General features: G+C 37.4%; 3 annotated features.

The window, feature by feature from the left end:
* Positions 3,799 to 4,998: an enhancer, noted in NCBI's record as "CDK7 strongly-dependent group 2 enhancer chr6:130935046-130936245 (GRCh37/hg19 assembly coordinates)". NCBI's record gives its function as "activates an origin of replication core promoter dependent on BRD2, BRD4, P300/CBP, MED14 and CDK7 cofactors, with strong dependence on CDK7, by STARR-seq in HCT116 cells {active_cell/tissue: HCT116}" and the evidence as "EXISTENCE:reporter gene assay evidence [ECO:0000049][PMID:35650434]".
* Positions 3,799 to 5,338: a biological region, named in NCBI's record as "CDK7 strongly-dependent group 2 enhancer GRCh37_chr6:130935046-130936245".
* Positions 4,837 to 5,338: an enhancer, noted in NCBI's record as "NANOG hESC enhancer chr6:130936084-130936585 (GRCh37/hg19 assembly coordinates)". NCBI's record gives its function as "activates a minimal SCP1, AML or CMV promoter by ChIP-STARR-seq in naive H9 embryonic stem cells {active_cell/tissue: H9 hESC(naive)}" and the evidence as "EXISTENCE:reporter gene assay evidence [ECO:0000049][PMID:30033119]".

The following is a 14,610-nucleotide window of genomic DNA, read 5'->3' on the forward strand; positions in this document are numbered from 1 at the left end:
ATTTATAAATATAGTGTATATATACACACAAACATATACTGGTTTTCATTCTTTGCCCATTTTTCTATTGGTATATTTTATTCAGATGATATTTAAACAATCATTTCCCCCTTTGAGTTCCAATGTTAGTATTTTAGAAACATACAGAAATTCAAAAACATAGTAATTTGCACTTTATATTAGCATAGTTTCCTACAATAAAGTGTGATTTGTTAACTCATCTGTGAAAATGTCTATATGATATTATCCTCAAAGCAGAACACTTCTATTAGTTTTAACTATTTGAATCTATTTCAATAAATCTAAAGACATCTTATGCAAACAGCCAAACAGGATGTGCAGTTTCCATAGAAACAGAAGCTAATATTATTAAAAAGGAATGAGCCAAGCTGGAACTTTTTTCCTCGGGGACCCTCATTTGCAACCAGTTCCTTGAATAAGTCGTATATGTGAATTATGCCACCTGATGCTAGTTAACATTAGTAATGCCTGATAAAGACTTCACTTGGCATCTGATCATCACAAGGGAAAGGTTGATGTAAATTACATTGCAGGCTAACTAATTTGGGATTTTATTTTAAATTGAAATTTAAAAGTAAAACCATTTCATCTTGATTTCCTAGGGAGAGTTGTTCATTTCCATGCTAAAATTGAAATAACCATAATGTAAGTGTCTGATTTCTTTTTCAACTTTGAAAATTTTGGTTATAAAGCAAACTTTTTCCACTGAATCAATGATTTTTATCAGCTTATATTATCAAAATGGAAAAAAATGCCTTAAGAAAATAGCCTTGAACAAAACAAATGTTATACACAAAAGTGCTAAAACGCTTTTAGAAGAATACGAAATAATTATTTGACTCAGACTGTCAGAGTTTATAATTACTACCCAGAATGGAAAAATTTCCTATGCTAAAGAACATCCCCGTGGGTCCAAACCACCTAGAAAATGATGTGTCATATGTGTTACTTCGCTCCACAAATAAAGTCTACAATTCAGTGTTTAGCCCAAAATTTCCTTTTAAGGCTGTTACCTTTTCTGTATACTCTAAGAAGTCACATGTGTCTGTGAAACATCTCATCTTAGTGCTGGAAGAGTGAGTCTTGTTGTATATGTTCTCTTTCGTATGGCAGAAAGAGGATTACTTCTCTTACTGTCAAATAGGGGATAGGATATATAAAGATTGTGAGCATGAAAGTAATTTTCATGTTTACAATAATCACACCTTCACTTTTAAAACAAAAATCGAAAGCTGTACACTATCTCATTTGACCTTCACAACTGTGATACTGACATTTGCATGATCACTTTGTAGACAAGGAATCTAAGATTCCAGAAGCCGAAAGGTCTTGCCCAAATGTCACAGTTAACAAAAGGACGAGCTGGACTGAAACACACGTCCTCAGTCATGTGTTTCCCATGTCAGTCATGGGAAGTTTCCACTGAGCTACACTACCACCCAGACGTACCAACTCCTAGGGTTTTCCTTCAAGCAGGGACTGAACTGAGTAGCCTGTCAGAGTAGCAATGACGTCCTTCACAGGAAGGAGGGGAGGACATGCTCCCAGACGCTGTGCTCTGGGGACAGTGTGTGCACTGCATGTTGCTGCCCCACACTCTATCAGTGGTGGTTGTGGAGATGGCTGTCGTGGTGACATTAAGATCACGGCCCTCAAGGCTTCACTTGATCAGGCCTCCAACTTCATTTCATTTCTCTCTCCCCTGTGTTCACTATGCTCCACATAATAAATTGATTTGTTTATTTTTATCATTTCTATACCAGGCACAAAAGGAAATAATAGGAAGAAATTCCATATTATTGAAGAAGTGTCCCTTCCTTCAAAATTGCAATGTAGTTAAGGGGTTGGATTCTAACACGAGATTGCCTGGGTTTGAATCCTGGCTTTGCCATTTACTGTGTGTGACTTCAGACTAAATTTAATTGATTCTATTGCTAACTTTTCTGTGCCTCTCTTGCCTCATCTGCAAAACTAGCCAAATACTAGTCCCTACCTGATGGGGTTCATGAGACAGTCCATGTAAGGCATTTATCTGGCAATAGAAAGAACTCCTGACATAAGTAGTCGGCATCAAAATTGATCAATATATGGTGAGACATCACAGTGTTTGCTCCGGAAAGGTCTTGAGCTATGCATACAGAACGTTACACCAAGTGCAATACATATAATGTGTTACATGTGTGTTTGTACTGCATGCATATGTGATACATACAAAATGTTATATATACAATGTATTTTAACAGAAAGGTTTGATTTGGCTTGGCAGAGAGAAAGGGAGGGGTAAGCTCGAGAAAGGGGGTCACCTGAATAGGGACAAGGAAGTTGGGGGAGCAGTGGGAATGCACACAGTGTGTTGTGAGGATAAAGGGGCTGAGCTCATGAATACAAAAGGCTCTTGCAAACTAATTGTAAGAGATGAAGCTGGACAGGAAAGATAGGACCAGGTAAAAGAAAATTTTTAATTCCAGGGTAAGAATTTGAGAATTAACTCAATAGGCAATAAATAGCTTCAGTAAGGAAGCTATTATAGAGTCTTGCGCAGGAAAACTTAACGTAAAAGAAAAACAAACTTGGTCTTCCTGGATGCCTTTCAAAGTTAACTGAGCAAGACTGACAAGAGCCCTCTGATAAGAGTTCCTATTGATGGCAGTCAATATGCCAGGCCTTGTCTCATTTTAACAAGAATTCTACAGGATAAATACTGTTTTCATATCTTCTGAGGAAGGCTCAGAAAGGTTAGGAAAATGTCCAAGGTCATGTGACTAATAAATAGCAGAGCCAGCACCCGCACACAGTCCTTTGCATCTCCAAAGCCTATGTTTTTACTAACCTACCCTGGTTAAATGGTTTTTAAAAAGGTGGGAGGGGTTAGTAAATGAGAGAAGCAACAGAAATTAGGGAAATTGAGCAAGATCATTAAAGGAATAACTTCCATATTACTTAAAGTATCTAACTATTCTGTACAGAAGCCTTCATCAGAACAATTACAAGGCAACATTTCTCTGGAAATGGCTGTTGAAATTAGAGCAACGCTGTGAATGTTGAATAAGAATGTTAGTTGCAAAAACAAGTTATCCTGTCTAGCGTAGGCAGAAAATAACTTTATTAAATGATACTTGGCTACTCAGAGAAATCCCAGGTGAGCCAGAAAAGTCGAGCAATTAGGGCAGATACCCAAAAACACTTTCGGGACCAAGGACACCACAGCCAAGCTCACTATGCCCAGAAGACACAGGGGACTGGGTGCCAGGATCTCCACCCTGATGAGCTGAAGGCCGTCACCGCCATGCTTGCCAGATGTGTGTCCCTGCACAGGGCTGCTTTTCCACATTTCTCATTTCCAAATCCACGCCTAGATGAGTATGAGCTGATTAGTAGAACCTAAGCCACATGCCTGTTTCAAGCTTCAAGGAAATCTGGGTTTGGGATTCTTTACGACTTTTTTTTTTAAAAGAGGTTTATAGCTAAAACTCATAATCTGGAATTGCCCAAAGTATAAGCTTTGGAACAGTCACAATAACGAATGCCCATTTTTATTAGGTAAAGGTGTTAGGGCAAGTGAAGAACCCCTCAGGATGTGTCCGTCACTCTTCATGGAAGATATGTGCTTCCTGACATGGGTATTTCATTCTGCTTGACAGGTTCAACGTGTTATTATAGAAAGAGAAGGGTGACTCACTAAATTTAATAAAAGTGTCCATGAAGGCTGTCCAGCTGCCTTGGGTTTGATTCATATTCACCCAGAAATTTTTTGTAGCCATTAAATTTCCCAAGAAAATTTATCTGCTGGGGAGAGAATGAGCTTACCAATGGCCAAGAATATTCTGGTCTCTCCTGCAGTTACATTTTGTTGTGGGTTAATAAGTTCATTCACCGGACAATGTGCCAGGCATTGAATTAGGCACTGCGTTTTGAATGACAATCAGATCCCATCTTTGCCCGTGAAGAGTTCACAACCTGTGAGGAAAACAAACGTGTAGATAGAAAGTTATGGAGTGATATGTATGATAAATGCAACCCTGGTAAAAATGACAGGAGAAGCGAGGAGGTGAATCCCTGCTCATCCCAGGTGGCAAAAAGGACACTGCTTGAATGAAGGCTTCACAAGTAAGAGTCAACCAGATGGAGGTTGGGGGAGAGGCACGCTAGGCTGAGGAAAAGCACAAATGTAAGGAACATTAATTAATTTCATTCATTCAGCCAATATTTGTTTTGTGCCAAATACTGGGATATAGAACATGGGAGAGTGAGTGGGGAAAACGTGGGTGGGGGGGCATACCACAGCAGCGAGGCTGAGGGGCAGATAGACTGACCAAATAGAGACGTGTATACCATGGCAAGACATTTAGAATTTACCCTTGGTGCTTTATCTTTTTAAATTGATCTCTCTGGAGACTGTGTATAGAATGAATCCAAATTTTAAGTGTCTCCCTCTTGAGTCTAAACACGTTACTTACCACCCTACATTGTGCATGTAAGTCTTTTCTTGTGTGTTAGCAGATGGTTTATTTTTCATGTGACTCAGGATGGGTACAGCAATCTGCATTTTCTTTATATCTTTTGGCATTCAGGTTTGGTCTCCCTGAGAAGATAAGCATGAAAAAGGCAAGGACCCTCCTGGTGACTAACTTAACAATAGAAGATATCAAAGATGGGTATTTGAACAAGGTTTCTTGGAGAGGAGCAAAGTCTTCTGGTACCTCCCTGTGAGACACCTAGGTAGCTACTATTTGACTTTCTGGAAACAGTAGCATGCACAATAATTATGCATTGGCATTTGCAAAAAGATAATGGGAAATTAATAGGACAGAAGCAACTTAGAGGTAAACCCATCTATCCTTAATAGAAAGATAGAGAAAAGCAGAGACAATAGCAAAAGAAAAAAGAAATAATCACATATTTGTGTATTTTAAACACTGTTTTTAGGTGCAAGCTACCATCATGAAACACATCACCCGCCAGCTGCACTCAACAGGGGACAGGATACGCAGGGCTTAGAGAAAGTGCTGCTTGCTAACTCTACATTTCCATGTTACATCTTTGTCGTCGTGGAAAGAGAAAGAGAAGAAAGGGAAGATATGATAGCAGGAACATTCACTGAAGTACAGACTCACTGAGCAATCATGACAAGGTAAACGAGTTCTACAGTCTATAAGGTCAAGATAGCAGGGCCTTGCCTGTGAAATACATTACATGTGTATGTAATGTGAATAGCTGATTTAAACTAAAGGACAGATCTCTCAAAAGAATGCTTTCAGGGCTCACAGTCATTGACTATTGGGAACTGACAAGAAGGAGGGGAGGAGGCAAGCAGGTAAGCATGCAGAATGCTGCCTGTGGTCACACAGGTCTGGCCCACAGCATCTCCAGTCTTAACACTTCATTGTCAGCTTGCTCAGGAGTGAACCAGGTTCCCAGTAAAAAAAAGTTCACATGAGACTGCCTTGTAAATCAGGTTGTCAATGTGTTACTTTACAGTGAGATTGATCTGATTTCAGGATAATATTCTTGTCCTCCATGCTAGATAATTCCTTGGACAGGTAATTTTAGCCAGGAATCCAAATCATTCATTACCAAGGTTTTAAATAGGAAGTCAGGAAATAAGTAGTTGGATAATCTCAAAGTATCAGTTCTCAAATTTTTATTGCCATATGCATATAATATCTGATAGTTATTTCATAGACTCCCCAGAATATAGCCAGACCTTGACATAATCAGCCCTCAATGTAATGAGTGAATAATGTATTTAGAAAACAGATACTTCCAGATGTCCACCAAAATGTGCTCCTTAGAGTCTTCTACAGCAAAAGAATTGTACCCTGACACATGGTTGAACTACACTTCCCAGACTCCCTTGCAGAGTGTGGCCATGTGACATTTCTCACCAGTGAGATATAAGGGGAAATGCTATGGGCCTTGGGGCCAGGGAGTGGGCATGCATTTCCAAGGTCTTGTCCTCCTTCCTACTGTATCATTTTTTGAGGAAAACAGGAATAAATTCAACTAACAAATATTCTCACTATTGAACAAACCTGTATGCCACTGTTACTAATAAAATCAATGAGTAATCCTCTTTGCCTCTCCGCCTCTCTGCCCATCTCTACCCCTGTTTTCCTGTGTTTTCATTCCCAATTGGAGTCATCCTTGACACTGCTCTTTTCATTCCCCCAGAGATACCTCTTTCACCATGTCCTACCACCTGCATCACACCTCCTGGCCCAAACCAGCATAATTCCTTATAATCTTTTATCCTCCTCTGCTCTGCCTCCCACATGGCAGCTCATGAAATCCTCTTGGGATGAAAACAGGAAGATGCCACTCCTTTCTCAATTGAGAGGAGTTTTAGATTTATTAGGGAATGAATTAGCAACTCTGAAAATGTGCTAGGTATATAAGCACTTAAAAATATGATGTAATTTTTAACTATGAGAAAAAATGCTTTAAATAGTCTAAGAAATGACATGTAATTATAATACATTTCCACTTTTAACACAAGTCCACTCTCCAGAGTTCTACCGTAATTTTATAATATGGCTACCAAATATTTTTCCCCCAAAGTGTTCCCCATGCCCTATAAGATAATGTCCAAATGCATTAACCAAAAATTAAAAGCCTTCCTGATGTGGCCTTAATCCACTTTCTCTTCCTTGGATCTTATACTCCCTCACACAAACCTTTTGCTGCAGCCAAACTATATTATTCAGTATTCTTTGGATATACTTGCCACTGTCCACTGCTTCTGTTCAGGCCATTCCATTGGAGCCATCCTCACTCTACACTGTCCTTTTGGACCTGTATCCCTTAGAGATCCAACTCAAACCCACCTCCAGAAAACCTTTCTTGGCCTTCCAGCTGAAAGTAATGCTCTGACGTGTCTGTTTACAAGGGAACATCTCTAAATAAATTTTGTCTTCTTTTTCTCTGTACAGCTAAATCCCACTTACTCCTCAAGACATGGCTCCTATGTCAGCTCTTCAACAAATCCTTCCCTCATTTCCCAGGCTCACCAGGAACTCTCTTCACTGGGCCTCCAAAGGCACCCTATGAATACTTCCAGAATTCCACTTTGCCCTACAACCATCTCTCCATGTGCTCTTCTAGGCTTATAAGCATATGAGAGCAAGAAATGTGACTTTCATTTTGAATAACTGTTGTATGAATGGAAAACATAGTTAGCAATTTATCATATCTCATGATTGCCCTTAAATCTAAATATTGGAATCATCTTTATCTACGTTTTTATTATTTTGTTTTTTATAGGCTTGCAGCTTATCTTTCCATGTAGTTAAAATCCCTTGAGGGTAGGAAATGTTTTATTCTTTATATTTTTGCCAACTGCCCAAATCAAACTCTAAAATACAGTGTGAGATCTCAAAATATCTGTTGCTTATATTATAGCAATATTTGAACCAAGATATACATATATAAATGTTCATTTCGGCACTACTTGTAATGGCAAAAATTAGGAACAACTAAAAAAAGTCTGTCTTGGTTCATTTGTGCTATTATAATAAAATACCATATACTGGGTAATTTATAAATAATAGAAATTTATTTTTCACCATTCTGAAGGCTGAGAAGTCCCAGATCAAGGTGCTGGCAGGTTTGGTGTCTGGTGGAAGGCTGCCCTCTCTGCTTCCAGCATGACACTTGTTGCTGTGTCCTCTGGAGGGCACAAACACTGTGTCAGAAGGTGGCAAGGCAAAAGGGAGGAATGCTGCGTCCTCAAAGGCACACAGGCAAAAGGGCCTCACTAATTCCCAGCTCTTTTATAAGGCACTAATTCATTCATGAGGGCAAAGCCTTCATGACTTAATCTCTTCCTCAGAGGCCTCATCTCTAAATAGCACCTCAATGGAGATTAAGTTTCAACATAAATTTTGGAGGAAACATAAACATTCGACCTATGGATTGTTCATTAGTAGAGGAATGGTTAAATCAACCATGGTTCACCCACACTTTGGAACATACTGGAATAAGTTAAAAAAAAAAAAGTAAATAGACCCATTTAATCTGGCATGAAGATATATTCAAGATATATTTTTAAATTTAAAAATCTAGTTATGGAACAATCCATTTGGTATGAGTCAGTAATGTAAAATTATATCTTATTCTGTGTGTACATATATGAATAATATTGTACAAGAAAATGGGTAAGTTTATTGGTAAAAAACTGTTCACAGTGGGTACCTTGGTGAGGGGAATGGATTGATAGGAACTGGAAGAAAGGGAATTTTTTTTTTTTTTGAGACGGAGTGTTGCTCTGTCATCCAGGCTGGAGTGCAGTGGCGCGATCTCAGCTCACTGCAACTTCCGCCTTCTGGGTTCCTGGGTTCAAGCAATTCTCCTGCCTCAGCCTCCCAAGTAGCTGGGATTACAGGAGCTGCCACCACAGCCAGCTGATTTTTTGTATTTTTAGTAGAGATGAGGTTTCACTATGTTGGCCAGACTGGTCTCAAACTCCTGACCTCATGATCTGCCCATCTCGGCCTCCCAAAGTGCTGGGATTACAGGCGTGTGCCACTGCTCCCAGTCTATTTTTATTCAACAAATTTTAAGAGGCTATATCTACTTCAGGTGTGGCAAGCCAGGTCTCATTAACAGCAGAACAGGTAGGCCTCCATGACAACTGTTTCAGCTCTGACTGAATGGTTACATTAAATATTAAAAGCTGAGGGAGCCAGTGTCCTTATACAAAGGCTGGGATGTAACAAAAGCCCACCAAGAGTCTTGCCTAGGCCTTTCCTGGGCCTTGAAGCATGACAAGATAACGAAGGAATTCTTAACAGGACCTGTTTAGGATTAAACAAGTTTTATTGGGGGTCTGAAGAAACTCCCCAGACCTCCACAGACAAGTTTATGGGAGGCCTAAAGGCACTCCCCAGACCTCCCTGATTTAGCAGGAAACAAGATAAGGGTAATCACCCCTGGTGCCTGCACCCATCTAGATTAAGTAAATTCACTGAGACTCCAGAGGAAGGTCTTCAGGACTTAGACCTTAGTTATAGACTCGAAGAAGTTAATCACTTACGTCTTTAGGTGAATGCACACTCACACATAGCACGTATAGCGCTCTGGAAAACTTTGTAATTTTGAGTTGATCTGGTGATATTTTCCCGGCCTTCTCCCTGTACCCGGTTATAGAAATAAGCTCTCTTCTTTCCCAGTTCATCTGCATCTCGTTACTGGGCAGCGAGATTAAGCAGCCCAACCCTCAGTTCGGTCCAGGAACACAGAAACTGGACTAAAATCAATATTACAGAAGCTGCTCAAATTTTCATGAAAAGACAATTATTAAAACAGAAACACTTTCCTTAATAAGATAGAGAAAATATTTTAAATGACCAAGTTTTTATAAAATTTGTTCCATTTAATATATGTTGATAGATTTTAGATCCCTTCATGAGCAAACTTTCTTTTTCCTGTAAAACATGCAAAATTTTTTAGCAATTAAAGTTGTCATATTAGAATTAAAATTTCTTTCCTCTAAGAACACTTGCCTTTGAAAGTCTGCAGCTTGTTGATGAGCAGCAGTGAGCCTTCATCACATCATCAATAACAACAGGCTAATGACACTGGAGGACTATGGTAAGGATTAAATGAGATAAGGCAAAAATTGTGTGACATGGGAGCTAGAACACCACAAGGACTCAGTCAGTGGTGGGTGCTACCCATTTGGACTAATCGGGTATCTACTCTAAATAAGGAGACTCCCTCATTCCAGTTGCCTTGGGCTGTAACACCTGGAGGGAATCATTCAGCTCTTTTCAAAGAATACTTTAGGATGACGATATTCCTGGCAGGGGATTCAGAAATAGAAATGCAGTAACAATTTTATATTAGAAAACATCTAAATAATTCAGTTGTTTAGGAAGCCTGAAACACCACTTGTTTCACTGTTCATGTCACCGATTCTCCATTAAGATTTACCTGTTAGCTTGGAACAGCCTTCAAGAGAAAGATTCATCAAATTTAACTTTTTCATCTACAGCAGGCTAGAGTTAATGCTCATATATCCACAAGATTTGTTTTAGCATAGGCAGCAATTCTGTTCCATGCAATGGCGCTGCATTTTGTAAAATACTCTGATCATGGAAGATTATTAAGGTTTTCTTATTCTTATTTTAAGATGAGGCACTCTAAAAAGAAAATCTTCATAAGCATTTAATAAAGTAAATTCAAAGCATAACTATTGTACTTGTCAGAAAGGTGATAAGAAGAAGGCTTCATAAATTGTTCTTGATATGATCAAACTCAGCTTTAAAGCAACACCAAGCAACCAGAACTCTTTGATATGTATGCCAGGGTGTGAGGTTGAGATTTCATTTCAAAATCTGAGTCATTCAAGAACACATTTGTAAAAAGAAGAAACCCTACTGTTTACCTAATGTTTAAAAACGTGATCTTTACCAAAATGGCTGGATCAGATTTAATTATTTTTACATATTAAATACAGACCACACGCCCAGCCTAGGGTCACTGGAATTTAAAGAGAGCACATCATGAAATTCTTAGCCTCTGAAAGATTGCAATCTAACCAAGAAGACAAATTACATTCTCATAAAATAGAGAAGTATACAACTTAGAACTAAGTGCCAAAATAGATGAGTCATGTGCTTAATCCCATGGAAAAACAGAAAACAAGACTAGAGTTATAGGAGCTATTAAGCTGCAAACATTTGCATTAAATAATTTTATTTTTATTAATAGAGGACTAAATACTTTAAAATAAATCATTGCTTAAAGCCATTAAAATCACCTATTAATTAGTTATCAGTTTTTCTGGCAAGTAATTTGAGTATCATTATCTGAACTTCTGCTAGTGCTTAGAGATACCCGATGCCTTTAAGATGCTTAAACTCGTCCTTCTGAGATGGTATGGCTTGAACATCTTTCACTTGTTTGAATACCTATGTTAGAGCCACGTAATGACTTTATTTCTTTGTATATAGGTTGAGATTATTCTGTTAATATCTACCATAAAGAAATAGTCGTTCATGAGATTTTTAACAGACAGAAAAATATCTAGCCTGGTAGCAAGCATCTGAAAACCTGTTTTAGGATCCTGTTTCTCAGCTGATTCAGGGAATATGCCTTCTTTCACTAGCTTATTATTATGCTATAGAAAGAGCAAAGGCTTCTGAAATTTGAAAAACTTGTCTTTGAATCTGTCTGATTTATCTGACCTTGAGCAAATTACTTGACTTCTCTGATCCTCGGCCTCCTTATTTACAAAATGAGATAAATTATTCCAAATGTGCAAAGCTGCTTTGAGGGTTAGATGGAACGTATGAGAAACAACTAATAGAAAGTTAGAGACACACTGTAAGAGAGAGCTAATATAATTTTCACTTGCTGGTGTATACATTTTCTGTCATTGATCCTGTTAGTACAAGCATCATCAACCAAGCTGTGCATATATGTTGTCTTATACCATTTATAACACCATGTTGAGAATTCTTAAATCCAAAGCTCTGAGAGATCTGTAAGATTGTTGTTTTTTATCTCCAATCTTTGGGTGGTAAAACTTAACCTGAACTAATGTATACTATTTATAACTTTATTTTATTTCATTTAGCATGAATGCTTACAGGTTTTGCTGCAGAAACAGTAAAGTGATAAAGAACATTGCTGTAGAAACTACTAAGGGTGGAACATAGTACACAGTATATGCACCACAGTGTCTTTCCAATATCTGAATGCATCTGCTCCAAAGGTTTCATAGAAAGGACTATAGAATTCTAGTATTTTCCCTTAACTTTTTCTTACATTACTACAATTTAGCTGGCTTTCATTCATTATATATTTGTGTTTGACACAAATTTATTATTACTTTGCTAAACACAAATATATAATAAATGAAAACCAGCTGTTGTAGTTTTTAAACCACTTTATTAAAGTATGGTTGATACACAAAAAGTTGTACATGTTTAATGAATAAACCTGATGGGTTTAGAGATAACATACAGCTATGAAACTGTCATCACAATCTATGCTGTGAACATAGCCATCATCTCCAAAAGTTTGTATGCATGTATATATGTCTGTCTGTATATATTTTTATAAGAACATTTAATGTAGAATCTACTCTCCTAGAAAATTTTTACATGTACAATAAAGTATTCTTAACTATAGGCATTATACTATTCAGTATATCTCTAGGACTTACTCATCTTGCATAGCTGAAACTTTGTGCCCTATGACTAAAATCTCCCCATTTCCCTCTCTCCATGACCTCTGGAAACCACCATTCTACTCTCTGTTCTATGAGTTTGACTATTTTAGATTCCTCATATAAGTGATATCATGTAGCATTTGTCCTTCTGTGCCTGGCTTATTTCACTTAGTATAATGTCCTCTAGGTTCATCCATGTTGTTGCAGATAGCAAGATTTTCTTAAGACTAAAAAATATGTCATTTTATGTAAATATCACATTTTCTTTATTCATGTGTCTGCTTGGACATTAAGGTTGTTTCTATATCTTGCTACTGGGAATAATGCTGCCATGAACATGGGAATGCAATTATCTCTTTGAGAATCTGATTTCAATTCCTTTGAGTATATTCCCAGAAGTGAGATTGCTACATGGCAGTTTTTTTTTCCCCAGGGAATCTCCATACTGTTTCTGTAATGGTTGCACCAATATATATTCCCGCCAATAGTATATAAGGATTTCCCTTTTTACCACATAGTCACTAACACTTGTTATCTTTTGGGTTTTTTTTTTGGGGGGGGGGGTTGTTGTTTATAATAGCAGTCATAACATATGTGTGGTGATATCTCACTGTGGTTTTGATTTACATTTTCCTGATCAGTAGTGTTAAGCATTTTTTCCTATACCTGCTGGTCATTTCTCCTCCGGAGAAATGCCTATTCAGATCTTTTGCCCATTTTTAATTGGATTACTTTTATCTTTGCTATTGAGTTCGACTTTCTTATATATTTGGATATTAATCCTTTTTCAGATATATGATTGCAAATATTTTATCCCATTCTGTAGGTTGCCTTTCCATTTTCCATATTTCCTTTGTTGTGAAGAAGGTTTTTAGTTTGATGTAGTCCTCCTTGTCTGTTTTTAGTGTCATATTCAAGAAACCATTGCCAAGACCAATGTCATGGAGATTTTCTCTTATGTTTTCTTTTAATAGCTTTGCAGTTTCAGGTCTTATGTTTAAGTCTTTAATCCATTTAATCCAACATGAGTTTTGTGCATGCTGTAAGTCCAATTTCATTCTTTTGCATGTGTTTATCCAGTTTTTCCAACAGTAATTATTGAAGGGACTATCCTTTCCTTATTGTGTATTTTTGGCACCCTTGTTGAAAATCAGTTGATGTTATATGCTTGATTTTATTTCTGAGTTTCCTATTCTGTTCCAATTGATCTATTTGTCTGGTTTTTTTTTTATGCCAGTACCATATTGTTTTGATTACTATAGTGTTGGGATATATTTTGAAGTCAGGAAGTACAATACGTCCAACTTTGCCCTTCTTGCTGGAAATCCCTCTATTTAGGGTCATGTGTTCCATATGAATTTTAGGATTGTTTTCCTATTTGTTTGAAAAATGCCATTGGGATTTTAATAGAGATTGCATTGAATCTATAAATCACTTTGAGTAGTGCAGACATTTTAACATTAATTCTTCCAATCCATGAACATGGGATATCTTTACATTTATTTGTGTCTGCTTTAACTTCTTTCATCATTGTTTTCTAAATTTCAATGTACAAGTCTTCCACCTCCTTGGCTAAGTCATTTCCTGAGTCCTTTCTATAGCCATTGTAAATGGGGTTGTTTCCTTAATTTCTTTAATTCCCCAGAGATGTTTGGATTGCAAACAGATAATTCCACTAGCTATAGAAAAATCTATAAATGTTGACTTTCAGATTTATTTTCCAAGTATCCTTTGAAAGAAACAAATAGCATTTTTGTACAGATCCCCCAAAAATGATAATTTCATTTTTATATTTTAAGTCAATTTAAATTCAATCTTGAACCTAGAAAAATTAGAGTATTAGTCTGCTTCAATGCCCACACTCCTGTGAACATTGTCAGAGTCAAAATGGAGTAAATTGTGTTTAAAATTCTGGCAAATAGAGCTGGGAAAGTCCACGAAGGAAGGGTTCTCATGCATAAATGACTAATAGCAAGAACTATCACAAAAGACGCTGCAAAACCACAACTTTGCACAAAGGCCATGGCAACTTTACACAAAAATATACTTCTGCAAGGACATCTGCCCAGCAACTACCTGTCCAACCTCAGACCAGCAAGGTTATTGACTTTTTTAGCCAAGGATAATTACCTTAAAACAATTATGTAAACTTTATCATTTTTCTTTTAAAAATCCTGGTCTTCTTTTACCTTCCTGAATACGCACATAGTTTACTGTGGCACACATATTCCCTTTGCAATGCCCTATTTCAAGAAAATAAATATTTTCTTTTATAGAGCGTCTCTCTGCTTGTTATTAAGGTTAACACTCGCTGCTGCTTCTTAAAACACACCAAAAATAACTGTTTTTTCTTTCAGACTTTTCCTGAGAGAGCATATATTCAAAATTCTCTAGTTTTCTGTTTATTGTTGTCA

This window comes from Homo sapiens, chromosome 6 (assembly GCF_000001405.40).
Source record: "Homo sapiens chromosome 6, GRCh38.p14 Primary Assembly".
NCBI lineage: Eukaryota > Metazoa > Chordata > Mammalia > Primates > Hominidae > Homo > Homo sapiens.